The sequence below is a fragment of the Homo sapiens genome, chromosome 2 (genome assembly GCF_000001405.40).
Source record: "Homo sapiens chromosome 2, GRCh38.p14 Primary Assembly".
Classification (NCBI taxonomy): domain Eukaryota; kingdom Metazoa; phylum Chordata; class Mammalia; order Primates; family Hominidae; genus Homo; species Homo sapiens.
The window spans coordinates 69,986,214-70,013,163 of NC_000002.12; the positions used below are offsets into that span (position 1 = coordinate 69,986,214).

At 47.5% G+C, this 26,950-nt stretch overlaps 1 protein-coding gene and 1 long non-coding RNA gene across 14 annotated transcripts in view, besides 3 other annotated features; both read right to left on the minus strand.

Annotated features, from left to right (window-relative positions):
- ASPRV1 (aspartic peptidase retroviral like 1) overlaps nt 1-26,950 on the minus strand; it is a 154,659-nt gene that overhangs the window by 53,497 nt on the left and 74,212 nt on the right. For 5 of the 10 annotated variants that reach the window (NR_170631.1, NR_170632.1, NR_170634.1 and 2 more), the window contains one exon: nt 10,473-10,675. The gene's annotated coding sequence lies outside the window, so the exon portion shown is untranslated. Of the gene's footprint in view, nt 1-2,232; nt 2,293-2,528; nt 2,626-10,472; nt 10,676-26,950 lie in introns of all 10 variants that reach the window. The other 5 variants (NR_170376.1, NR_170635.1, NR_170639.1 and 2 more) reach the window with 2 other exon arrangements.
- Nucleotides 1-26,950, minus strand: part of PCBP1-AS1 (PCBP1 antisense RNA 1) — a 125,946-nt gene that overhangs the window by 23,951 nt on the left and 75,045 nt on the right. Inside the window, exons 8-9 of one of the 4 annotated variants that reach the window (NR_033872.1) lie at nt 10,473-10,675; nt 2,529-2,625 (exon numbers count right to left, since the gene is read on the minus strand). The exons of 1 other annotated variant lie outside the window; for it this stretch is intronic. This is a non-coding gene — a long non-coding RNA (PCBP1 antisense RNA 1). Of the gene's footprint in view, nt 1-2,528; nt 2,626-3,926; nt 4,807-7,166; nt 8,003-10,472; nt 10,676-26,950 lie in introns of those variants that run through there. 2 more of the 4 variants (NR_183089.1, NR_183090.1) reach the window with 2 other exon arrangements.
- Nucleotides 6,954-7,453: an enhancer, noted in NCBI's record as "H3K4me1 hESC enhancer chr2:70220299-70220798 (GRCh37/hg19 assembly coordinates)". NCBI's record gives its function as "activates a minimal SCP1, AML or CMV promoter by ChIP-STARR-seq in primed H9 embryonic stem cells {active_cell/tissue: H9 hESC(primed)}" and the evidence as "EXISTENCE:reporter gene assay evidence [ECO:0000049][PMID:30033119]".
- Nucleotides 11,235-11,489: a silencer, noted in NCBI's record as "fragment chr2:70224580-70224834 (GRCh37/hg19 assembly coordinates)". NCBI's record gives its function as "represses an EF-1alpha promoter that drives an FKBP-Casp9 reporter gene in an ReSE screen in phorbol 12-myristate 13-acetate-treated (for megakaryocytic differentiation) K562 erythroleukemia cells {active_cell/tissue: K562(+PMA)}" and the evidence as "EXISTENCE:reporter gene assay evidence [ECO:0000049][PMID:32094911]".
- Nucleotides 24,339-24,408: an enhancer, noted in NCBI's record as "active region_15983". NCBI's record gives its function as "activates an Ori minimal core promoter by ATAC-STARR-seq in GM12878 lymphoblastoid cells {active_cell/tissue: GM12878}" and the evidence as "EXISTENCE:reporter gene assay evidence [ECO:0000049][PMID:35858748]".

The following is a 26,950-nucleotide window of genomic DNA, read 5'->3' on the forward strand; positions in this document are numbered from 1 at the left end:
CTCTGCCCTCAGGTAGATTCATAGCTGAGCCTGCTTCCTGCATGGGCAACTCTATCTACATGAGGCCCAGGACACATGGCAGTGGGTAGTTTAGCTAACAGGGGGAATGGTCCTCCCCAGCAACCCCTCTGCTTAGCAGCTGAGAAGGCAGCAGTGAGCACTCCCCTCGCTCAGAGAGACACAAGTATGCCCAGAATGGAATCTGCTCATGAGGGGCTGCCCTCTGGGGTAGGTCAAGGCCTCCCAAACCAGCACATCCATGTGGGAACACCTACAAAGGCTCTATAACTCAGGTCTGTGTCCCCAGCCCAGCAGTGCTGAGCAGGAGGGAGCCCACACTGGAAGTGGGATGACAACTTCCCAGACCCTCGTTCATGCAGCAGACCACAGGCGCTGCCCTGGGTTCTGATAGCAGTACCAGCTCCTCTTCAGGACCTGGGGACCCTTTAATCCAGATGGTGGGGGACAAGAGAACCATGAGACCCCTTTCTAGGGGGCCCTAACTGCTGCCCTGCTGGGCCAGGTGTCACCTTGCTGTGTCTGCTTTGATCACACCCATTGGGACATTTGTGGTTCCAGCTGTGCACACGTCTCACTGTGAGCCAGGAGAGTGGGAAAGGACTGGGAGGTCACTTAGTGGGCAGACTCTCAGCCTGCTCTGGCTGGAGCTGAAGAGGCGTCCTGTCGCACAGTACACAACACATACTATGCAATGCTGTCCACCCCAGCCTTGCCTTGTGGGGTCTGGGGCCTGGCAGAGAGGGGGCTTAGAACTGTGGAGAAAGCCCTGCAGAGGATGTGCACCTTCCTCTGGGCTTTGAGAGATGAGCCACCTTGGGTTAGGAAGGAGGAGTAGGAATGCTGCTCCCGGAAAAGGGATCAGGGAACAGCCGGAACGAAGATGCAGGGGTGGGAATGCGTGAGAAGTCTGGCCTGAGTGAGGGGAAGGCATTGGGAGGAGGAGTTCTGAAACACAGCAAACCACTAGGCCAATCGCCATCCCCTCCTGGTTCTTTCACTACAGCACCAGACACAGAAGCCGCGATGTTCCCCAAGGCTACATCCTTCTGGGCATCTCCTGTCTCCCTTCTCCTATCCCTCATCCCTGGTCCAAACAGCCAAGCCCCAGGATCACAGGAAACCCACGGTGGGCTATCCTTGGCCCCTGACACTTCAGTCCCATTCCTCTGGGCCTCTTGACTCTTATCTTTGCCCTGGATGGACTTTTACATTCACGTTAAAAAAAAATCAGTTCGGGGTGGTGGCTCACATCTGTAATCCCAGGGCTTTGGGAGGCCAAGGCAGGAGGATCACTTGAGGCCAGGAGCTCTAGACCAGTGCAGGCAACAAAGTGAGACCTCATCTCTACAAAAAAAAAAAAAAAAAAAAAATTTAGCCGGGCAGCACATGCCTGTAGTCCCAGCTACTTGGGAGGCTGAGGTGGGAAGATCACTTGAGCCCATGAGTTCGAGGCTGTAGTGAGCTATGATCTTGCCACTGCACTCCAGCCTGCACCACAGTGAAACCCTGTTTCAATAAATAAATAAATAACAAATAAAGGATGGTTGTCTCAGAGCTGAACAGGGACTGGAATGGGAAGGTCTTTGGACCCTGTGTGGGTAGGACACTTACTGACTGGGTGCCACCTTCAGGTAGGAGAGTGCCCAGGTACAGCTGCTCTGAGGCCAAGGCCTCCCATTCATTCATCCAACAAATACTTATCAAGCACCTACAATGTGCCAGGCACTGCCCTAGTCTCCGGGGGTGCACCCGTGATGAAGAGGTTTAAAACCCCTGCCACAATGGGGAGAATGTGGAGAAACTGGAATCTGTGTGCATTGCCAGTGGGTATGTAAAGTAGTATACAGCCACTGTGGAAAATGATATGGTGGTTCCCCAAGAAGTTAAACATAGAATTACCATATGATGCAGCAATTCCACTTCTTTAGGTATAGACCCAAAAGAACTGAAAGCAGGGATTCAAACAGATATTTGCGCACCCATGTTCACAGCAGCATTATTGGTTTGCAATAGCTGAAAGGAAGAAACAACCCAAGCGCCCACGCATGGCTGAACAGATGAACATGTGGTACAGTTACACAATGGAATATTATTCAGCCGTAAAAAGCAATGAAGTTCTGACACATGCTACAACATGGATGAATCTTGAAAACATTATGCTAAGTGAAAGAACCAGACATAAAAGGACAAATACTCTATGATTCTACTTACATGAGGTGTCTAGAGTAGTCAAGTTCATAGAGACAGAAAGTACAGCGGTGGTTGCAGGAGCTGCAGGGAGGGAAATGTTTGGTGGGTAGTGGGAGTTAGTGTTTAGTGGGTAGAGAGTTTCAGTGTGGGAAGATGAAGAAGTTCTGAAGATGAATGGTGTTGATGGTTACATGATATTGTAAATATACTTAATGTCACTGAATTGTACACTCAAAAATCATTAAAATGGTCGATTTTATGTTATATATATTTTACCACAATTAGAAACAAACAAAAACCTTCCCCATGGAACTTACGTTCTTCTGAGTTGCCCCAGACGAGAGCTTATAACGAAGAGTAGTGTTAACTCTGCCACCTCAAAGCAGGGGTCAACATGGGGTTCTGCAGAAGAGTCTGGAGTAGGATGGGAGGGGTCAGGAAGCAAGAGGTCACACACAGGTTCCCCTCAATCTCTGTACCCAGAACGGCTCTCCTGTTACCAATTTTGAGTGTATTCTGATAAAATTTTATTTGACAAAAAGGCTGCCACCACTAAAGAACACTTTTTTTTTCCTAAACCACTGCCTTCCTTCTCTAAAACAACCACTGACCAGGAGATGCTTCCATGAAGAGTGAGCAGGCAGGGGCCACTTTGCAAGAATCTGCATGGGCAGGGGATAGGGCCCAGAGGGCAGGGCTCTCACAGCCCCGCCACACTTCTCCCGGGCTGGAGGGTCAGTTTTCAGATTTCTGGCTCCATCTCCTCCTGGAGGGCAGGGTTCTTGGCTGAGTCACCTCTGGTCTTGCCCAGGGTGGGGTATGGAAACGGCACCTGATTTTGGCATTGGAAACCTTGGCTCCAAGTCCTGGCTGGGCCTTTTATAAGACATTTAATGTCCCAGCCTATTTTCTTAGCTGTAAAATGAGAATGACCCTGACACCACCCATCTCCCAGGATCAGACACAACACCACAGCACAGCACAGGACAGTGCTTGGCACAGAGGGGTGCACGTACATGGGGGGCCTCAGAGTTCAGGCCTTAAGGCCCAGGAATGGGGGGCTGTGGGCCCCAGGTGTGCCCAGGAGGCCCTGGGGCGGGTCCCTGAGCCCTTGGACCTGCCCAGCCAGCCCTGCCAGTCCTGGCCAGTCCCGGCGCTCATTTGGGGCGTGGAGGGGGCACTAAGTGCACAGCCGCCCCCAGAGTAAACAGCCTGATGAGCACGGGAAAACAAGATGCTGAAATGCTTCTGAGCCACGTCATGGTTTCAGAGGCACTGGCCCGCCAACCCCAGGAGCCTTCCTGGGCCCCACCCAGGTGATGTGACCACACCCTGTGCTGCCCCTAACCCATCTCTGCATGTGACAATTCTGTGCTTTCTATGCTGGGCTGTGACTTCTTGAAGGCGGGGACCCACCCTACTGGTCTCTACTCCCCTGGCACATAGACAGGGTTCAGTAACTGCATGTTAAATCAGCGGTGATGATGATGATGGTGACAATGACAGTTGCAGCAGCTATCCAGCACATGGCCCTTGCCATGGGTGTGGCCACAGTGCTAAGAATCTTCATTTAACTCTTTTAACCCTCACGGAAATCCTCGCAGGTGTGTCCTGTTGCCATGATCCTCATTTTTAATGAAGGCACTGAGGCACAGAGAGCTTAAGTACCTTGCCAAAGGTCATACAAAGTGACAGAGGCAGGGCTTGAACCCCGGTGCCTTGGTTTGCCCTTTTTATTTTTGTTTGTTTATGTATTTTTATTTTATTTTATTTTTTTGAAACAGAGTCTCACTCTATTGTCCAGGTTGGAGTACAATGGCGAGATCTTGGCTCACTGCAACCTCCACCTCCTGGGTTCATGCGATTCTCATTCCTCAGCCTCCCGAGTAGCTGGGATTACAGGCCCCCGCCACCATGTCCGGCTAATATTTGTATTTATATTAGAGATAGGGTTTCAGCATGTTGGCCAGGCTGGTCTCGAACTCCTGACCTCAAATGATCCTCCCACCTCAGCCTCCCAAAGTGCTTGGATTACAGGCATGAGCCACTGTGCCCAGCCTGTTCATTTATGTAGACAGGGTCTCACTCTGCGGCCCAGGCTGGAGTGCAGTTGTGTGATCAGGGCTTACTGTAGCCTCGACATCTAGGGCTCATGTGATCCTCCCACCTGAGCCTCCTGCCACACTTCGCTAATTTTTTAAAAAATGTTTTGTGGAGATGAGGTCTTACTATGTTGCCCAGGCTGGTCTCTAAGTCCTGGACTCAAGCCATCTCCCTGCCTTGGCCTCCCAAAGTGCAGGGATTACAGGTGTGAGCCACCACACCTGGCCTCCCTTTTAACCACTCCTCCCAGCTGCCTGGACAAGGACACTTTCTCTCCTACTGACTCCTCATCCATGGTAATCATCAACTTCTTGGGAAGGGACATTAGGCGCCCTCGGGCCACCTTCATACGCAGCCTCTAAGATCCCTTCTGAGGTGTACCCTGGCAGAGAGGCCATCTTGAGACTGTGTAGACCCTCCTTTGGCAGGGAACTCCGCACCACACCGGCACTCATCTCAGATGGGACCCCAGCCAGCCTCCTCAAACGTGGCCTGCTGGACATAAAGAACGGTCCCTCTCTCATCTTTGGTGGCTTTTCAGCTATATAAATTCACCTCTCCTCTGGCTAACAGCCCCTGCATCGTCACCACTGCTCTGCCCCCACACCCCCTTCCTCTTGGTGACCTGCCTGGGGAATTCCTACTTGGCTGGGATCTGAGAGCTGCACCCCACACACGGGCAGTTGGCCCAAGAAGCGGGGATGGAGAAAGGCTGCGGCCCTCCCTGTGCTAGGTCCTTGCCTCCCATGTGTGGGGGCTCTCCTGATCTTCACACTCTTGGTCCATAAGGAACCCATGGAAAACCAGTCCCCTTGGGCCCCCACGCTCCTCCACTATGTATTTGAACGAATCATTTTAGTGAACCCAAATATAAAATGTTACATTTTCCCTTGTAAAATGTCTTCTTTTTTCCACCCTGACAAGACTACTTTGAGTCATGACTTTGTTACCCCAAAGTCATTTATTGTTCCTCTGGGGGCTGGGTCACCTGCAGCCCAGAGAAGCCTCCCTTCAGGGGCTTTATTTGTTATTTTTTTGAGATGGAGTCTCACTCTCGTTGCCCAGGCTGGAGTGCAATGGCCCAATCTCGGCTCACCACAATCTTCGCCTCCCGGGTTCAAGCGATTCTCCTGCCTCAGTCTCCCGAGTAGCTGGGATTACAGGTATGCACCACCAGACCTGGCTAATTTTGTATTTTTAGTAGAGAGGGGTTTCACCATGTTGGCCAGGCTGGTCTTGAACTCCCGACCTCAGGCAATCCGCCCACCTCGGCCTCCCAAAGTGCTGGGATTACAGGCGTGAGCCACTGCGGGGCTTTATTTAAAAAAAGGAAAAGAGAAAAAACACATTGCTCAGCAAGTTTCTCTTCTCTGTCTTGAAATTTAGGACTAATAAATGGATTTGTCTCTGGTCATGCCACCTCTCTCCAGAAGTGCTGCTTTGGGGGCTCTGGCCAACCTGGATGACCACCCGTGGGGAACGTGACCACCTGTGGGGAATGTGACCACCTATGGGGAATGTGACAAGTGGGTCGTTTTCTAGGACAGAGTTGAGAGAGCTCTATTTTACATTTTCTCTTCTGTTAGGGGCTTCATTTCACTCTTAATGATCTTTGTTCCACTTTTTTTTTTTCTGCCAGTGTGAGGACTATTCTCAAGGGAAGTAGAATTGGAAACAAAATGGGAATTGTGCACTTTTTTGTTCTCTCTACTCGGCGTCTTCGCCTAGCCGAGGGGAGTCGCTGCCTTGTCCATCCTCTTGCTCCAAACAGACCAATAAGGAAGCAAACAAACAACTTTGGTGCTGACCAGGATTCCTTTACAATCGTTGCTAATTCTAGACTTCGGTCCTTCTGGACATTCTGACATACCCATGGTATATCACAGCCAAGGCATCAGGCAGTGTGAAAACCCAGCAGGTTCATTGAAAACCTACACTCATCTGTTCTCCTTGGCTGCTGCCCGCCCCCTTCCTCCCTGTTAAAATCATTTGCGATTTCATCATCAAAATCTAATTTCCACTAGGTGGAATGCTTATGCCTGGCAGGTTTTCCTCTACCCCTCACATTATTCTAATCCCACTGAAATAATAATTCCTTTAGGCAGCTTGTTTGAGACCACCATTTTGATCAAGCCCTACTCCATTCTCGCCTTGGGGACATGTCACAGAGTGGTTTGTCTAAAATCTTTTCCTAGAACTTTGATATTGTTATTTTAGGTTATTATTGTGATTTCATGTTATCCTCCCCCTTTGGGAGAAATGGTTTCATCATTTTGTAATTAAATTAGATTTGCAAAATGTCAACAATAGGATGTGCAATGCATTACACGTGCATTACGTAGTAATCTATTGTCAAGACAGAGACCTCCTGGTGAGGTGACAGAGCCCTGGGCCCCACTGCCTTCTACTAGACTGTTGCTTTCTCAGACGGTGAGGAATAAATCAACCTTATCTAAGAATCCTTGTCTAAGAAATACCTGGCTTTTCTTTGAGATCCCCTCACTGATTGAAGCACCCCTGCAGTCACTCAGGGTGATTCACAGAAGCAGATCTGGGGACCACGTGGCCAGGGAGTGGGGAGGAATCAGGCTACCAAAGAAACAGAGACCCGGCCCTGCCTCGGCAAGTGGGCTGCCCTGGCTCAGGCCACGTAGCGAAGAGGGCAGAATTTGTCCTCAAGCCCACACCTGCCTACCCCTCCGCCACTGCTCCACAAACTGCACCCCTAGCCCACATCTGAGTTGCTGTGTCCTGTCCCATGGCTACTTAGGCCATCCCACCAGGCCTGCCATCCCCAGGAAGTGTCCAGCTCAGAGTCCTCTCTCCACACCTGTCTCCAAGTGTCAGCAAGCTTTCAGACTGGAAAGGATTTATTCACAAACTCATGTGGGTGAACAAAGGAGTCCAACAGTAAGGGAGACATTTTCAGCTGTGAGGCCAACTAGGGCTGTGTGGAGAGGACTTGCCCCCTGAACCTGAGATCACAGTGACCTTGGTCTCCAAGGTCCTGTGAGAAGCACGGCTGGCCCAAGTCAGAGCCACTCAACAGCATCTTATTCATCCAGAGTCACTGAGGTTCCCATCAATTACATTTTCTGAAAATGAAACTTGAATTGCCAAAACACTATTTTAACCTTTGAAAATAAATCTTCCTAAAAGGTGGCCCATAGTCCCTAATGACTTAAAACCTCTCCTTTTCCCACTGAAGTGGTCATCATTATCCCTATGGAATGGGACAATAATGTGATTGTGTTTCCATGTGCTGTTTAATTACAACCTTCCTTACAGCCTTCACTTTCCTGTTATCTACAAGTCTCTCTCTAAAAACCACCTTCCACCAGCCACCCTTCCAGGCTGTTTGTTTTGCAGAGCGTTGGGAAATCAGACAGCACTCCTGTTAGGACAGTGTGCTCCACAGATGTCAGCGAAGCTTGAGGCCCACAGAGAAATAAGGCACTTGGTTCAGACGCAGGGATTTTGATTAAGCTATTTCTGAGGGTCTTCTTTCCAATACCTTCCAGTTCACGGCTAAAATCCAAAGGCAGATGGGGCCAAGACTCACTTGCACGTGGAATGCTCCTTGAATCTATTTCTCATGGTCCTCTGACTGGTAAGATGTTTCTGTCGTCGTGTCACTGTCAGGCAGGAGTTCCAGGGCTTGCTCTGCTTCTATTTGTTATGTGTGGCCCTGCTAGATGAGCAGCGTTGGTGAGACCCCTAGACCTGAGAGGTCCCATTAAGAGGGATGAGATCAAGAGAGGTGAGATGTGCAGCCTGTGTCCCTGGCCCTGACCTGGCATCCTTCTCTTACGTGTCTAGTGTGTTCTATAGACTTCAACCTCCTGACACAGCATCTGTGGCCATGGCCATTTTACAGCATGACCAACGGAGCAGTGAGAGTCTGGGAAAGAGCAGAGCCCCTCAGGGAGACCACTTGGATGAGCTCATCATGTGCTAGCTCTTCAAGGAACCCGGGGTGCAGCATGTGGGCGGTACAGTAACGGGCAGCCTGGGCTGTGTTTGGAGCTGCTCTGAGTTGGGAAGGGCTGGCTGTCACAGCTGGGGCAAAGATGCAGCCAGGATCTCACTCTATGTTGCTCACCTGGTGGGTTGTGACTTGCTACTGGGTCATGAAATCAATTTAGTGGGTCACAACCAGCCTTTCTCTTTAAAAAAATAAACAGAATAGGACAGGTGCAGTGGCTTATGCCTGTAATCCCAGCACTTTGGGAGGCCGAGGAGGGCGGATCATGAGGTCAGGAGATCAAGACCATCCTGGCTAACACGGTGAAACCCTGTCTCTATTAAAAATACAAAAAAAAAAATTAGCTGGGCGTGGTGGCAGGCACCTGTAGTCCCAGCTACTCAGGAGGCTGAGGCAGGAAAATGGCGTGAACCTGGAAGGCGGAGCTTGCAGTGAGCCGAGATCGCGCCGCTGCACTCCGGCCTGGGTGACAGAGCGAGACTCCGTCTCAAAAAATAAATAAATAAATTAATTAATTAATTAATTAAACAGAATAATATCCAAGCACATCACATGTAGTCAGGGTGAATATTGTTTTGACAAAACTTTTGCGGCCGGGTGCAGTGGCTCACACCTGTAATCCCAGCACTTTGGGAGGCCGAGGCAGGCAGATCACGAGGTCAGGAGATCGAGACCATCCTGGCTAACACAGTGAAACCCCGTCTGTACTAAAAATACAAAAAAAAAATTAGCCAGGCGTGGTGACGGGCACCTGTAGTCCCAGCTACTCGGGAGGCTGAGGCAGAAGAATGGTGCGAACCCGGGAGGCGGAGCTTGCAGTGAGCCAAGATCACGCCACTGCACTCCAGCCTGGGTGACAGAGCAAGACTCTGCCTCAAAAAAAAAAAAAAAAAACTTTTGCTTCAGTGCTATGTATCCATACATTGAGGTGTGTCCTGCTTGGGACAGGAGATATCTTTCTCACCATAAGCAGTGGTCGAAGAAGTCAGAAATACAGTGGTTACACTCACATCCATCCTGCAGTTGATCTTCCTAAGACCCATCCCTGCCACCTTACCCTCAGTTGGGAAGCCAAATGGAATTTGTTCAGGGCCCTAGAACTAGCCTCACCTGGAAGGGACAGAGGAGTCTGGGAAGCCTTCTTGGAGGAGGTGGGGCTTGCTGTGGTGGGAGCAGGAAGAGGGACACAGGGCAGAAGGGAGGGCAGGGGCAATTGTCCCAAGGTGGGAAGAGCAGGAAGAAGGAAGCCTGGAGAGGCCTGGGAGGGGCAGTACTAGACACCGCCTTCTCATGCAGGCAGAATGAGGGCTGAGGCCAGCGTTAGGGGGAGAAAGAAAGCCCATTTGGTTTCGATGTGGAAACAGCCAAGTAATCTTCTACTTGATGCCTGCTTTTGCAGATGGTTGGAATCATCCTTAGTTAAGAACCAAGGCCTCCTCCTCCTTTATTCCAAATCTCTTTGGGGAGCACTTGGTAGTGGAGCAGTCAGGTGGGGTATCAGCATAACATCCCTAGCTCTCACCAACCCAGAGAATACAACTTCATAGTGCCTGTTTTCCTTTTTTCAGTTTAAATTACAATTTTAAGGTGGGGTGTCGAGGTTCACCCCTGTAATCCCAGCACTTTGGGATGCCAAGGGAGGATCGCTTGAGCCCAGGAGTTTGAGACCAGCCTGGGCAATATAGGGAGACCCCCATCTCTCAAAAAAAAAAAAAAAAAAAAAAAAACAATTAGCTGGGTGTGGTGGCACACACCTGTGGTCCCAGCTACTTGGGAGGCTGAGGTGGGAGAATTATGTGAGCCCAGGAGGTCAAAGCTGCAATGAGCCATGATCACAGCACTGCACTCCAGCGTGGGTGACAGAGTAAGACCTTGTCTCAAAAAAAAAATTCAATTTTAATTCATTAAAATGAAAAAATCCAGTTCCTCAGTCACACTGGACACATCTCAAATGTTCAATAGCCACATGTGGCCAGTAGCTACTTCATGGAACAGCACAGAGAACATTACTATCATCATGGTAAATTCTAGTGGGCAGTGATGTTCCAGAACAACAAAATGAATAATTTATTCATTCCTTCAGGAATGCAACGTCTTTCATTACTTCTATGACACCTGAAATTCTAAATGCAAATGCTTCTGAGAGAGGCACTGGAATGACTTAAGTTCTTACCAAATAGTAACTGGTTGATGTCAAGGGTCCAAAGAAAGCCACCATCTACGGAAACCATCTACCTGAGGCTGAGTCTGTGTGACACATGGGGGCTGCAGGGATGTCGGACGGTCAGATACTGTCCCTAACCGGAGGTGCTGTCTGAGAATGCTGATGGATAAGGGTTAAGCACCTCTGTCAAGGAGTGTGGAAAATTCTGTGACCTGTAAAGAAAGAAAATGACCCAAAGTTATTATTCATCTTCAGATGAGGGGACAGTTTATTTTCCAACAGTCCTCAGCAGGGGTTATTGCATGAGAAACAAGCTCTTCTCTATTTCTAGGTAAGGCAGAATAAGAAGTGGACACACAAGGAGGCTGGGTGTGGGGCTCACGCCTATAGTTCCAACACTTTGAGAAGTTAAGGCAGGAGGATGGCTTAAGCCCAGAAGTTGAAAGCTACAGTGAGCTATGATCGCACCACTGCACTCTAGCCTGGGTGACAGAGCAAGACCCAGTCTATTAAAAAAAAAAAAAAAAAATGGACGCAGGCCTTTGCAGAGGAGGATGCTTGTGAACTTGGCCCTCCTCTGCCCTCTACATTTTACTCAATGACCAAGCCCATGGCTTTATCCATCTCCTCCGCACCAACATCTCCCAGAACCATAGTACCGACCTAGGCCTAGAGATCTAAATACTGACTTATCCTCACCAGGAGCCCAGAAGGAATTGTCACAATCTCTGTGCCCTGCCCCCACCACTTCTCTTCCTGTAGTCCCTACCCTGGCTCATCCTCCACCACACTTGTCCAAGTCAGCACCTGTGAGTCACCCCGGGCTTCTCCTCCTTCCTCCCTCCCCTGTGCAAAGTCACCATGTCTTGGCCACCTCTCCTGTCTGCCTCAAGTCAGCTCTGCTCTCCTCCTCGCCAGCCCTGCCCCAGCTGCGTCCTCCTCCTGCCACACCTGCTCTCTGGCAGGGGCCGCCTGCTGGCTTCCCTGCTTCCAGTCATGGCCACCTCCAGCCCGATGGCACTGAACCACAGATGAGCAACAGAATGACCTGGGGAGGCATTTAAAATCTAGATCCTGACTCAGTTGATCTGGCCGGGTCAAGCATGTGTATTTTTGCAAAAGTGCCCCAGGTGATTCTGACACATACTCCTAGTTAAGAACCACGGTTACGGCCGCCTCTTCCTCATCGTTATTAATAACAAGAGAAACAACAATTGACATTTTTTGTGCACTTACGTGCACTGCCTCATGTAATCTTCATGACAATGCTATGAGACAGGAGCTGTATTCTACTCCCATTTTACAGTTGTTGAAACTGAGGCATAGAAAGTCTCAGGGCTAGTGAGGGGCAGGACCAGCTCATGACCAGCCTGACTTCTAACCGCTGTGCTCTCCATACCCCTTTATAAAGCCGAAATTCATATGTGGCTCCCCTCCTCACACCATTTCCTGATAGTTCTAGAAAAAAAAAAAAAGCAGTGTGGGGACACATTTATGATTTCCCTCTCCACCCAACCTCCCACCAATAGCTTCTTAACGCTAAAAGAAGTCTCTTGATCAGGGTAGTGGGGACATAGTGAATACCTATGTAAAAATTCACTGAGATGTATGCTTAGGATTTGTGACTTTATGTTTGTCATTCCCCAATAAGAAAAGATCCTTTAAAAAGTCACTTAAAAAAAAAAAGAACCTAGCAAATCTGAAACAGAGAAAAATATGCATCTGCTAAAGAAACTGGGGAAAGGCCATAAAAATGCCAGCAACTGTGAAGAATTCTTTCTGGTGCCGGGCGCAGTGGCTCACGCCTGTAATCCCAGCACTTTGGGAGGCTGAGGCGGGTGGATCACGAGGTCAGATCGAGACCACGGTGAAACCCCGTCTCTACTAAAAATACAAAAAAAAATTAGCCGGGCACGGTGGTGGGCGCCTGTAGTCCCAGCTACTCAGGAGGCTGAGGCAGGAGAATGGCGTGAACCCGGGAGGCGGATCTTGCAGTGAGCAGAGATCACGCCACTGCACTCCAGCCTGGGTGACAGAGCAAGACTCCGTCTCAAAAAAAAAAAAAAAAGATTTCTTTCTGGCAATAACACAGGTAAGAACAGGCTAGGAAAAGATCCCCAGAGCTAACCCGCAGGAAATGCTCGAAAGAAACCAGGCTGGGAGAGGGCACTGGCTAGAGGCAGGGCTCCGGGCATGACTGACAGGAAACCCCAACACAGTGGGCTTGATGGCAGTCAGCAGTCGGGCACAGGCCAAGAGCCATAGCAGTAACAGCAGCAGCGACACAGGGACTCTGAGGGCCCACAGGACTGTCTCTGGGCCAGGGACTGGGGGCTGCCCCAGGTGGAGGTCAATGACAGTGAGTTAACTCCTTAACTTTCACAATTCACAAAAATACTACAGATTCCATCTAGATTAATATTTATTTTATTTTTTGGAAACAGGGTTTCACTACGTAGCCCAGGCTGGAGTGCAGTGGCTAGTCACAGGTGCAATCGCAACGCACTACAGCCTTCAGCTCCTAGGCCTGAGCATTCCTCCTGCCTCCGCCTCCCAGGTAGCTGGGACTCCAGGTGCACACCACTGTGCCCAGCTAGATTAAGATTCAAATTAAAAAAAAAAACTCACTAAAATATTGAGATAATTTGTGTGAATATATTAATATAAATTCTGCAGCGGAAGTATTCCTGAAACTGATATAAAGACAGAAACAATGCCTATAATCCCAGTATTTTGGGAGGCCAAGGAGGGCAGATCACTTGAGCTCAGGAGTTCAACACAAGACTGGCCAACATGGTGAAACCTAGTCTCTACTACAAAAATACAAAAACTAGCCGGTGTGGTGGGGGCATGCCTGTAATCCTGGCTACTCGGCAGGCTAAGGCAGGATAATCACTTGAACACAGGAGGCAGAGGTTTCAGTGAGCTGAAATCGTGCCACTGCACTCCAGCCTGAGTGACAGAGCAAGACTCTGTCTCAAAAAAAAAAAAAAAAAAAAAAAGACAGAAACCAGCCCAGTCCTAGTGATCCAAATACCAGTGACTTATCTGGCCAGGAGCCTCCACACAACAATCCCAAAGGGAATTGTCACGATCTCTGCACCCCACCCCCACCACTCCCCTTCCTACAGTCCCAATCCTGGCTCATCCTCTACCTGCTCACACCCTGCCCTCCTCCGGGTCAGCACCTGTGAGTCACCCCGGGCTCCTCCTCCTTCCTCCCTCTCCCACCCAAGGTCACCACATCTTGGTCCCCTCTCTCATCTGCCTTGAGTTGGCCCCGCTCGCCTCCTCTCTAGCCCTGCCCCACCTTCGGCCTCATCCTGCCACATCTGCACTCTGGCAGGAGCCGCCTCCCTGCTGGCCTCCCTGCTTCGAGTCATGGCCACCTCTAGCCTCATGGTTTGGAAAGCCTATACAGACTACCTTGATTACATGGATATTTTAGATTCATGAATGCTTTAAAAATGAACAAGACTAAATGACAAGTGATAATCTAGGATAAAATATTTGTAATATATGAGAATTGGGCAAGGTGGCTCACACCTGTAATCCCAGCTACTGGGCAGGCTAAGGCAGGAGTATTACTTGAGGCCAGATGTTTGAGGCCAGCCTCGGCAACATAGTGAAACCCTCATCTCCAAAAAAAAAAAAAAAAACCACACACACACACACACACACACGTAATATATGACAGACAAGGAGTTAATAGCCTGAATACATCTTTAAAATAAATAAGAAAAAAATAATATACCACACTAAATAATAATAATAAACTACACAAATGAAGTGGGAAAAATGGAGAAATATATCAATAGAAAACAGAAAACTGACTGGGCTCGGTGGCTCACGCCTGTAATCCCAACACTTTGGGAGGCCGAGGTGGGCGGATTGCTTGGGCTCAGGAACTTGAGACCAGCCTGGCCAACACGGCAAAACCCTGTCTCTACTTAAAATACAAAAACTAGCTGGCTATGGTGGCATGCGCCTATAGTCCCAGTTACTTGGGAAGCTGAGGTGGGGGATCACCTGAGCCCAGGAGGTTGAGGCTGCAGTGAGCTGTGATCACGCCACTGCACTCCAGCCTGGGCAACAGAGCAAGACCCTGCCTCAAAAAAAAAAAAAAAAAAAAAAAAAAAAAGAAAGAAAAAGAAAAGAAAACTAGATAAAGCACATAAGCAGATAATTCATCAGAAAGAATTACCAACGGCTGGCCTGTAAAAGAGTCCAAGTAATAAAAAGAGAAAAGGAAAAGGAAAGCAAACTAAAGCAACAATGATATACTATTTGTTTTTGCTTATCAAATTTGCAAAATTTTCAAAAATGCTAATCCCCAGTGTTGGGAAGGACATAGTGAAGGAGGCACTCTCATAGGATTGGTGACAAGAGCCTAAGTTGATACATCCTTCCTGGAAGGCAATTTGACAATATGTACCAAATCCTTGAAAGTGTGCATACTCCTTGATCTACTCTATTTAACTTTTTAAATTAAAAAAAAAAAATTAAAGTATTGAGATAGTTTGTTTGAATATATTAATATAAACTCTGTAGCAGAAGTCTTTCTGAAACTGACATAAAGACAGAAACCATGCCTATAATCCCAGCACTTTGGGAGGCCGAGGAGGATGAATTACTTGAACTCAGGAGTTCAAGACAAGCCTGGCCAACATGGTGAAACCCTGTCTCTACTAAAAAATACAAAAGTTAGCCAATGTGGTGGTGCATGCCTGTAATCTCAGCTACTTGGGAGGCTAAAGCAGTAGATCCCCTTCTACTTAAGGGGATCAAAATAAGGATGTGGCTGGGGTTGGTGGTTCACACCTATAATCCCAGCACTTTGTGAGGCCGAGGCAGGTGGGTCATCTGAGGTCAGGAGTTCAAGACCAGCCTGACCAACATGGTGACACCCTGTCTCTATTAAAAATACAAAAACATTAGCCAGGCATGGTGGCACATACCTGTAACTCTGGCTACTCAGGAGGCTGAGGCAGGAGAATCGCTTAAGCCCAGGAGATGGAGGTTGCAGTGAGCCAAGATCTCCCCATTGCACCCCAGCCTGAGCAGCAAGAGCGAAACTCCATCTCATAAAAAGAATAATGATAATAATAATAAGGATGTGCACAGAGTCAGAATTATATATAATGGACACAATTGTTAATAACCTAAAGTGGCAATAAGAAGGGATTCGTTAAATCATGGTAAATTCATAGTGAAATATAAGCGATCAATAAAAATTTCATTGACAAGAAAAAATGTTCACAATGTATTGCTAAGTATAAAAAGCGAGTCATAGAACAGACGTACAGTATGAACCCATTTATGTAATAAAATATATATGCACAGAAAAAATATCTTAAAGGATATAACCAAAACCATAGCAATGTGTATCTCTGACAAATATTAGCATGATTTTTAATTTTCTTTTTCTGTTTCCTACTTCTCTTGTAAGAAACATGGCAGTGTGCACTGGCAGAGACCCCGCAGGTAATGCAGACCCCACCATACCCCCACCTTTCCATCTACCTGGTGGGGTTCCCTGTCCAGAGCTACCCTGTGGCTCTGAGCATTGATACCCTTTGTATGAGACATAAATGCTATTTCTTGTGCTGCTGTTTTAACTTTTCAAGCTTAATCTTGCCTCCTCAATTTGCTGTGGTAAGACTGGGTAAGGTTTGTGTCTCACATTTCTTGTGTGTTCTTCACACTGCCTACTACATAGCAAGTTCACAGCAAACAGCCTAAGAAAGAATGTGTCACTTCTGTGCCCAAGATCTCGTGGGCTGGCTGGCCCCACAGGTGTGGCATCTGAAAGAGCTCAGTTCTAGGCCAGCTTGAGGCTGCATGTTGTGGGCTACCTGTCAATCTAGTTCTATGAAGATGCCTATTGTCCTGCTAATTACTGTAGAGTGATGGGGCTGCTTGTTTAAAGCATAGGTTATTGCCCTCACATCCAGAGGCAAAGCCAATCCTGTGGCATCCTGTAATTAATGAGCCCATAGCATTTCTTCCTGCCTCTAGTGCAAAGTTGGCTTTGATCCAAGGGAGCACTTCCCCTCCATCTACAACTTCACATCTTTGCTGTTGGAGGCCTCTTCTGAGAAAGTACCTCCTTTCTTAAACTGGGGGGCTGATCAGAATAGCCCTATGTCCCTGGTGTTTAAAGTCAGCTTCACCAGCTCCCCCTCGTCCTTCTGAGTGATAGAGTATGCTCTTAAGTCCAAGCAAATCTACTATCCAACCAGCTCAGTTTATAGGCCCAGAGGCCAAAAGAACCCTAGAGACCACTGCAGGGGTGACAGACGGTTTGTTCATTCAAATTCAAAAAGTAAATGTTTATAGTTGTCGATAATCTCTGCAATCAGCACTCACTTCAGTTAAATCCTCTGTAGAAAAATGAGTTAAATCCTCTGGAGAGGGAGTCAGAATCAGGAAGAGGCCAGACAACTGCCTCTTTTTCTCCTTGTGTATGTGTGAATGTGTCTGGTGCTCACAAGGTTCTTGAAGGAGTGGACGGAGGAGAGAAGTCCTGAAGTCTTTGCCATGAGCACATGTGAGAGGCTTTATGGAGGCCAAGCCCAGACTTCCATCATGGGGACCTTGGCCAAGGTACTTCACAGCTCTGTGCCTCAGCTTCCTCATCTGTAAAATGGGATGATCATAGAGGACCTGCCTCACAGAGTGGTTGTTAATGGATGTTAAGCACGTAGAACACTGCCCAGCCCAAGGTGAACAGGACACAAGTGTTTGCCACTGTTAACAAAAGCAGAGGGAGCCTTTTGAAAATGTCATCTTTTGAGTCCCCTGAGCACTCTCTTGCTCTCTCTGTGAAGAAAGATTCCACACAGCCTGGCATGAGAGCAAGGTCCCTTCCCAGGTGCTTTAGAAGCCAAAGAAGTGGCTGTAGCTGAGCTGGAAGACAGCTACTGGCCACAGAACATTCCTTTGGAAGCTCTTCTCCAAGCAGCCCACCAAGGGCCTTGGGTGTTGAGAGAGCCCAGCCGGCCATGACGGCTGCCAGAGGCCTAAAACGAGGGTTGTGCTGCGGTTTCAATGTTTCTCCCAGAAAGCATGTGTTGGAAACTTAATTCCCAATGCAAGTGCTGGGATGTGGGGCCTGAGAAGTGATCAGGCCATGGGGCAGAGTGAATGAATGCTATTATCATGGGAGTGGGTTCCTCACAAAAGGACAAATTTGGCTCCCTTTTCTCTCTTCCACTCTTTTCGCCTTTCCACCTTCCACCATGGGCTGACGCAGCAAAGCCCCTCGATCTTGGACTTCCTAGCCTCTAGAACTGTAGGAAGTAAATCTCTGCTCATTATAAATTGCCCAGTCTGTGGTATTCTGTAATAGCAGCACAAAATGGACTAATACAGGGTGTTTGAGAGGAATCCCACACTGGCTTACGGGAGAGCCATCTGCCACAAACGGAGTCTTCTAAGGGTGAGGGTTGGCCAAGGCTCCAATTCTTGGAGGAAAGGTTTCTTTTCTGTAGCCTGAAAGTCTGAGATAGAAAAGCAGAAGAGGAATAGGGACCAACTCCAGATGGAGTCCTTGTTTTTAAGAGGTGGGGTAAGCCAGGCGCGGTGGCTCATGCCTGTAATCCCAGCACTTTGGGAGGCCGAGGCGGGCGGATGACGAGGTCAGGAGATCCAGACCATCCTGGCCAACATGGTAAAACCCCGTCTCTACTAAAATACAAAAAATTAGCCAGGTGCCGTGGCGCACACCTGTAGTCCCAGCTACTCAGCAGGCTGAGGCAGGGGAATCGCTTGAACCTAGGAGGCAGAGGTTGCAGTGAGCTGAGATCGTGCCACTGTACTCCAGCCTGGCAACACAGCAAAACTCCATCTCAAAAAAAAAAAAAAAAAAAAAAAGAAGTGGGGTAATTGAGTGCTAGTCAGTTGGTCTCATGGCAGGACACTACTTCAGACACATCAGTATTTGGTAAGAAGATAGACTACCTGAGTCATTAAGAAACATTCATTTTCTTATATGGTAGAATCTGTTCTTCCCTCTGAACCTAGACTTTCTGAAAGGAAGTTAAACCTCTTCTCGTCTCCTGCTCTATCTCCTCACCTAAGCCTCAGCATTTTCTTGTTCAATCAACAAACATCTTGGTTCCAGGCACTTGAACCAGCCTTGGGCCTCAGGTGAATTGATGTCACTGGTCCCCGTCTGTTGTTACCTGCTCACTGGGGCTCAGAATGCCACTGCCTTTTGTCTATTTTGTTAAATGCTGTACCCCCAGTGTTTAGAATAGTGCCTGGCTCACGGTATGTGCTCAGCAAATAGCTGTTAAATGAATGCATGAAGATGCTGCAGTGTCCATCGCCCTCCCTCAAGCCCATGCCACCCTCACACAGAGAGGTTCCACTATGGTTTCTTATTATTATTATTATTTTGAGTCAGGGTCTCATTCTGTTTCCCAAGCTGGAGTGCAGTGGCAATCGCAGCTCATTGCAGCCTGGACCTCCAGGGCTCAAGCAATCCTCCCACCTCAGCCTCCTGAGTAGCTGGGACTACAGGCACAAGCTACTATACTCTGCTAATTTTTAAACTTTTTGTGGAGACGGGGTTTCCCTATGTTTCCCAGGCTGGTCTTGAACTCCTGGGCTCAGGCAATCTTCCCACCTTGGCCTCCCAAAGTGCTGGGCTTATAGGAGTGAGCCACCATGTGCACCCAGCCTGTGGTTTCTTTTATCAATGTTTTTGTTCCACTTCTACATCCACTTTTATCTAATTCTGTTGTCTTCTTGACACGCATGCCAAATTGTCAATTTTATTTGTCTTAAATGTATTTATTAAAGTTACAGATTTTCTTGTTTTCTAATTCATTAACTTCTTTTATCTTAATTTGCTCCAGTTCCTTCTTGTCAGCTTATTTTTTGTTGTCTTGCTTCTTGAGTGTCCAACTTGCTCAGTTAAATTCTATCTGGTTTAATAATAAAGCATTTAATTCCAAGCATTTTTCTTTGAGAATAGCTGAGCCACATTTAGTAAACTTTGTAGTGTCTTCAACATCCTTAATTTCTCCATAGCTTGTGACTGCATGTAGAGAATGACAATCTATCCCACTACCCACCCCCAAACTTCACTAGCCATTCTCCTGTTCTTTGAGAGGGAAATTCGCATCTACTCATTGTTTATAAAAAGCTTTTTGTAAATACACCTTCAAGCCACTTCCCTTCAACCCAGATACCACCCACCCCTCAGCCCCTGTTTACATAGAGACTCAGGAGCCATGGGGGAGAGCCATGTGCTGGGCACTGTCTGCCCTTCGATAGCCCAGGGTTTCTCAATGTTAGCACTATTGACACTTTGAGCTGGATAATTCTTTGTGGCCAGGCTGTCCTGTGCATTGTAGGATGTTTGGCAGCATCCTGGCCTCTTTCTACCCACTAGATGCCAGTAGAATATGTGCACATGCACATGCCCATGCCCATGTGCGCACACACACATACACCCCAAGTTGTGACGACTAAAAATATCTCCAGACATTGCCAGGTGTCCTGTGCTGGGGCTGGGGGGTAAAACTGTCCCTGTTTGAGAACCACTGATACAGTCCTATAAAAGCCACAGCCACAGAGAAGCCAGGACACACAATCTTACCTCCCACCTCCGCAAAGGTCTGGGAGGACCAAGGCCTGGAGGTCCCACAGTGGGGCCCCCTACGGTTAGGTGTAGGAGCTGCAAATGAGGAGGCAAAGGAGGCCAATTCTGTTTCCTTAGGTGGGTGTAAATCTTCCCTCTTGCAGATGGAAAGAAAATGGGATCTAGGTGGCTTCTAGCTGGGAGGTACCTTCAAACTTAGGAGACCAAGAGGGTACAGGGGCAGCCTTCTCCAGCACCCAGTGGCCTTGGCCTCGGTTAGAGGGCATAAGAGGACACCAAGACTCATGGGAGCCCAGTCCAGCCCAGAGGGAAGAGGGCCAGATAGGATTCAGAGCTGAAGCCCTGGCCAAAGCAGAGAGAACACCCTTACTTCATAGAGCCTCAGGGTACAAGAACATCAGCAGCCCCTCTGTTCTCAGGAAGCAAGTGGGATCTGTACTTGGTCATAAAAAGAAGCCCATTACCCTTTACATAAAATAACATCCTGATCATTTAGCGCTATTAATGTGTAAAATGCACATACCCTTGACCTAGCAGGTACATTGCTATGAGTGTATTTTATGGCTATACCAGCACAAGTGCTCGGGGTCTACAGAGGGGCTGTGGCATACTAATCCAGAGTGCAGCCTTGGGTTGGGGCCTGGCTGCCTGGGTTCAAGTCCCAGATCTACCACCTACCAGGTATGTGATCTTGGGAAAGTTATTGACCTCTTTGCAACAGAGTTCCTTCATTGTGACATACAGGCAGTAAAAGGACCTATCTCTTGGGCTGCTACAAAGATTATGTAACTTACCATATTCCAACAACATAGTCTGTGGTCAATAAATGCTAGCTAAAAATCTGGGAATTTAAATGCCAATCATTGGTTAAATACATGTGACATATCCATTCTGTGAAATACTGGGTAGCCATTGAAAGAAATGAAGTAGAACGCTATCTACTTAAGCCGGGCGCAGGTTGCTCACGCCTGTAATCCCAGCACCTTGGGAGGCTGAGGCGGGTGGATCACCTGAGGTCAGGAGTCCTAGACCAGCCTAACCAACATGGAGAAACTCCGTTTCTACTTTAAAAAAATACAAAATGAGCCGGGCGTGTTGGCGCATGCCTGTAATTCCAGCTACTTGGGAGGCTGAGGCAGAATTGCTTGAACCCTGGAGGCGCAGGTTGTGGTAAGCCAAGATCGCACCATTGCACTCCGGCATGGGCAACAAGAACGAAACCCTGCCTCAAAAAAAAAAAGAACTATATCTACTTAAATAAGTAGAGCGTATTTAATAATAAGTAATAAATATGAATATATATATAATAGAAAAATTGTGCTAAATTTTATAATATAGATGATACACATGCAGAAAAGTATATATCATTTGAGCTTATTTGCATATAAAAAGAGCTATGTATAAATAGCTATGTGACTTTAACTGCACAGAAAGTTTCTAGATCCCTCAAGAAGCTCATTATATCTAGGGAGTGGGACTGGAGGACCAGGGAACTTTTGCTTTCTCCTTTGATATTGTTTTGAGTCTCCTACTATGAGTATGTATTTTTATTTATTTATTTAGCGACAAAGAGTCTCACTTTGTCACCCAGGATGGAGTGCAGTGGTGTGATCTCAGCTCACTGCAACCTCTGCCTCCTGGGTTCATGCAATTCTCGTGCCTCAGTCTCCCGAGTAGCTGGGACTACAGGTACGCTCCATCACGCCTGGCTAATTTTTGCATTTTTAGTAGCGACAGGGTTTCACTATGTTGGCCAGGCTGGTCTTGAACTCCTGACCTCAAGTGATCTGCCCACCTCAGCCTCCCAAAGTACTGGGATTATAGGCATGAGCCACCGTGCCCGGTCTATTTTTTTTTTAATAATAATATTCATCTTTTGAATGAGATAAATCTATCTCATTCATTCATTTCCGCTGCTGTGGAAAATTTTTCAAGATTTCTTATTAATTTTTTTAAGTGGCAGAATATGAGTAATATAATACAAGCCATAGGAACGAATCTCCATTCACAAATCCAGGTGTGCAAGAAATCAAATTTTAGTCTATAACTCAACTCATTGATTATGGTAAGCTTCAATCCTGACAATAGAAAACTTAATTTCAGGTATGTCTGAATTCTCCAGAATATTCAGAAGTGCCAGGCATGAGGCTGCCGATGAAGTCAGCAGAGGCCAGGTCTGGCAGCAGAGGCAGCCAGGAACCTTGGATCAGGTTGCCTGTGTCTTCACGGCCTAGTCCAACCTTGTCCAACCCACAGCCTGTGGGCCGCATGCAGCCCAGGACAGCTTTGAATGTGGCCCAATGCAAATTTGTAAACTTTCTTAAAACATTATGAAATGTTTTTGTGTGTTTTTTTTTTTTTAAGTTCATCAACTATTGTGTTAGTGTATTTTAGGTGTGGCCCAGACAATGCTTCTTCTTCCAATGTGGCCCAGGGAAGCCAAAAGACTGGACACCCCTGGCTAGCCCTACCATATGACTGCCTCCTTCTGGGATTGTAGTCCTGCCCCCAGCCAGCCTGGGGAGGACAGGGCTAAAAGGGTTGGGGTCCTTTCCACTCCCAAGGAAATCCTTCTTCCATCGTTTCCAGTCAAGGCATTCAGTCTGTGCAAGAGAATCCTCATCCTTTGATGAGCCACTCAGCAAATCCTGGAGTTGCCCTAAATGCTTAAGCTTTCAGCACACAAAAGCCAGAGATGCCTGAAGATAAATTCAGTTTTCTAACCTGAAAAGCTGCTCTGGAGGTAATGAGCTCCATAAATGTGAGGGCAGAAAAAGAGAAAATTCAGGAGAGAAAAAAATTAATTTCTCAGATACTATCCCTGCCACTCACATGTGTAAATGCAAAGCAAAAAGTGTAAACATTTCCACCAAATAATTAACAGTGCCTACCTGTATGGTAGGCTTTAGGATGGGGGAAGGGGTGCAAGAAGAGCATTTATATACTTGTCTATATATTTCCAAACTGTTTGGATTTTTAAATGATGAAGCTGTATTCAGCACTGCTTATATAATTTATTGTCTTATTTATTTATTTATTTATTTATTTATTTATTTTAGAGATGGAGTCTTGCTCTGTTGCCCAGGCTGGAGTGCAGTGGCACGATCTTGGCTCACTGCAACCTCCGCCTCCTGGGTTCAAGCGATTCTCCTGCCTCAGCCTCCCGAGTAGCTGGGATTACAGGCATGCACCACCATGCCCAGCTAATTTTTGTATTTTTTAGTGGAGGCAGGGTTTACCATGTTGGCCAGGCTGGTCTCAAACTCCTGGCTTCAGGTGATCCACCCGCCTCGGCCTCCCAAAGTGCTGGGATTACAGGCGTGAGCCACCACACCTGGCCATAACTTACTATCTTAAATAAATAAATACCCACACATCCTTTGCCTCCAGGGGGACAATGCAGGCCACATCTGTCTAGTTGGCTGGTGGGCAGACCTTTGGGAAGCCTATTTTCATGAGGGGTAGAAAGGTTCTGAAGGAAATAACTCTTTCTAAGGGAAGAAGGAAAACAGGCACAACAAGCTGACCCAGAGACAGTTGCGTTCAACAGCAAGAACTGATTCTGGGCTGGACTGGTATTTGTAATTTAGATGTATCTGTAGGGCGAAGCCCCACGGCTCTATAAGGCAATGCAGGGACCAGCAGCCCCACAGCACTGCTGCTATAGGAGTGTCCGTGACTCCCAGCAGGTATGGGGTGCCTGATGGGTGTGGCCGTGTCCAGCAAAACTGATAGCTACATGGGGTGTGGTAGGGGCAAAGGGAAGTCACAGAGCTGGAGGAGGGGAAAAGACGAAAAGGTAATGGTAATTGTCTAACCTTGTCCACTAGCACAGGAGAGTCACACACCCTGGGGATGCCCAAAATGCTCATGGGATGAGGGTATGTGAACTAGACAGGGGTCTAGTTCCCACACTGTCAAGTAGGGGCACGGGAGATACACAAGTGGAAAAGCTCTAAGGACGTGATAAGGGCACAAGAGTCCAGGTGTGTGTACAGGTGGGAAGCACAAGAGAGGGAGCCACAAAGTCTACAGGGGAGGGGCCAGGAAGGTCTCCTGAACAGCTGACGTGGGGTGATTCACAGTTGGATAGATAGGCAGTAGGGATTTGCGTGGCAAGGGTGGAGGGCACAAGGAACTGCATGTGCAAAGGCCTGGAGCTGAGAGAGTGAGCAAGCAGCGTTGGGGGGAACTGAAAGCAGTTCAAGCTGATGACAATGAATACAGGGGAGTGGCAGACAACGAGGCCACAAAGGTTGTGTTTCATGATAAGGAATTTGGACTTGATCCTGCAGGCAGTGGTGAAGCTCACAAGAGAAGTATTTAACAGGGAAATTAAATGATCAAACTTTCCAGTAACGTTTTTCACCACAACACTCCCATCTCTTTTAGTTAACTCCCACCCAGGCTGCAGTCTGAACATGAGAGCTGCTTCCTCCAGGAAGTGCTCCCTGAACACCCTCAGACTCAGCCCTCAGTCAAAACTTCTAGGGGTTCCCAAGCACCTCTGCCATCTTTCCCCACTGCACTGGGTCCTAATGACCTGTGCCCTGTCCTTTTCTCTCCTCCTTCATATGCTGTGAGTGCTGGAGGTCAGGACAGTATCTGTTATGTCCTATGTTGTATTCCCACAGCCTGCACAGAGCCTGGTATGGTAAGTACTCGATATGTATTTACTTAATGAAAAACACATTATCCTTAGCAAACTAATGCAGGAACAGAAAACCAACTACCACATGTTCTCACTTACAAGTGGGAGCTAAATGATGAGAACTCATGAACACAGAGGGGAGCAATACACACTGGGACCTCCTTGAGGGTGGAGGGTGGGGGGTGTGGGAAAAGGGAAAGGAGCAAAAAAAATAACTCTTGGGTACTAGGCTTAGTACCTGAGTGATGAAATAATCTGTACAACAAACCCCTGTGACACGAGTTTAACTATATAACAAACTTGCACATGTACCCCTGAACCTAAATTAAAAGTTAAAAAAAAAAAGTGTGAGAAGATAACTCTTGTGGTTTCCAACCAGAACTGTAGAGTACAGGTTGAAAACAGGGGGCAGGGGGCCAGGGAGAAGACCCTTGCAATCGTTTAGGTGAGAAGGGATGAGCGCCTGAGCTGAGGCAGTGGTGGTGGGGCTGGAGAGCAGGGAGAGATTGGGAAAATGTTTAGGAGGCAGAACTGATAGGCCAGGTGAGCAGATGAGGGAAGGGAGGGAGCCAGATAAGGGGAGGAGGACTCCTGGGATTCTGGCTTAAGCATTTGAGCAGATGATGGATTAACCAAGACTGTCTATTCTGGAAGAGGAAGCAATGTGTAGGGGAAGACGAAGAAACCAGTTTAGACATGCTGACTTTGACTTGCCTGTAAAGCATATAGGTGGAAAGGTCTCAGGTGGAACCACAAAACTGGAGCCCGGGACAGACATCTGGATTGAAGATAGAGATTTGGGAGCTGTCAGCCTGCAGGTGATGGTTAAAGACCAGGGAGGAAATAAGATCATCCAGGGAAAGGAGGAGGAGACGAAACAAGAAGAATGCCAACCTGTAAAGAGTGAGGGGAAGAGGAGCCACGGAGAGAAAGGGAGGCATGAGAGAGGGAGGAAAAGCAGGAGCTGAAAGCAGCATCACCGCTAAGGGAGAAGCAGCTTCGGGGGCTAGCAAACAGGGTCCAACAGTGTGAAGAAACAGAGCCTGCCCAGGCCTCCCTTTACAACTGAGGAAAATGAGGCCGAGGGAGGCTGATGGAGGGTGCTGGAGGCATGTGCTATTAGTACCCATGGTCGTATAGGCCATGGCTCTCAAATTATGATCCCTGGACTCCTGGGTCCCCAAGACCCTTCCCGGGGGATCCAAGAGATCAACATCATTTTTTTTTTTTTTTGAGATGAGTCTCGCTCTGTGGCCCAGGGTGGAGTGCAGTAGTGCAATCTCGGCTCACTGCAAGCTCCGCCTCCCGGGTTCATGCCATGCTCCTGCCTCAGCCTCCCGAGTAGCTGGGACTACAGGCACCCGCCACCACGCCCGGCTAATTTTTTGTATTTTTAGTAGAGACAGGGTTTTACCGTGTTCGCCAGAATGGTCTCAATCTCCCAACCTCATGATCCGCCCACCTCGGCCTCCCAAAGTGCTGGGATTACAGGCGTGAGCCACCGCGCCCGGCCAAGGTCAACATCATTTTTATAATAATACCAAGAGTTTTTCTGCAGCATTCACTTTGCGGACATTTGCACTGATGATGCAAAAGCAACAGTATTTGGTGCCTTCTAGAGCCTTAAGTCAATGAAGAGGCACCAAACTGCACCAGGAGTCACAGTCTTCACCCCCATGTACTTGCAGTTCAACAGAAAGGCAAACTTAATGTAAAAATGTCCATGATAGAGTAATAATTATTAATTTTATTAAAACTTATCCCTTGAATACATGTCTTATTAATACTCTGTACACAAAGCACTTCTGCTGAATACCTAAGTACTGGAAGCACTTACCTGATTGTTTGAATTACAAGCTGACTACTTGCTTTTTCATAGAACATCATTTTTATTAGGAAAAAAATGACTAACAAACTATGATTATTCAGACTTGGGTATTTGGCAAACATTTTCTCAAAAATGAATTAAGTGAACCTGTCACCTCATAGAAAACAACTGACAGTATTTGTTGCCAACTGTAAAATTTGAGCTGTCAAGTGAAGATTTAAAATTTTGGAAAATGTGTATCCATGCTGGTAGATACCTAAAGACTTCTTAACACCTCAAGACTTTTCTGATGAAATCAGTGGTAACACTGACAAATATGTTTTTGATATTATAGACTGAAATGTGCCTACATTTAGAAGATGTGAATAATTCACTGAACCATCATTTTCAAAATG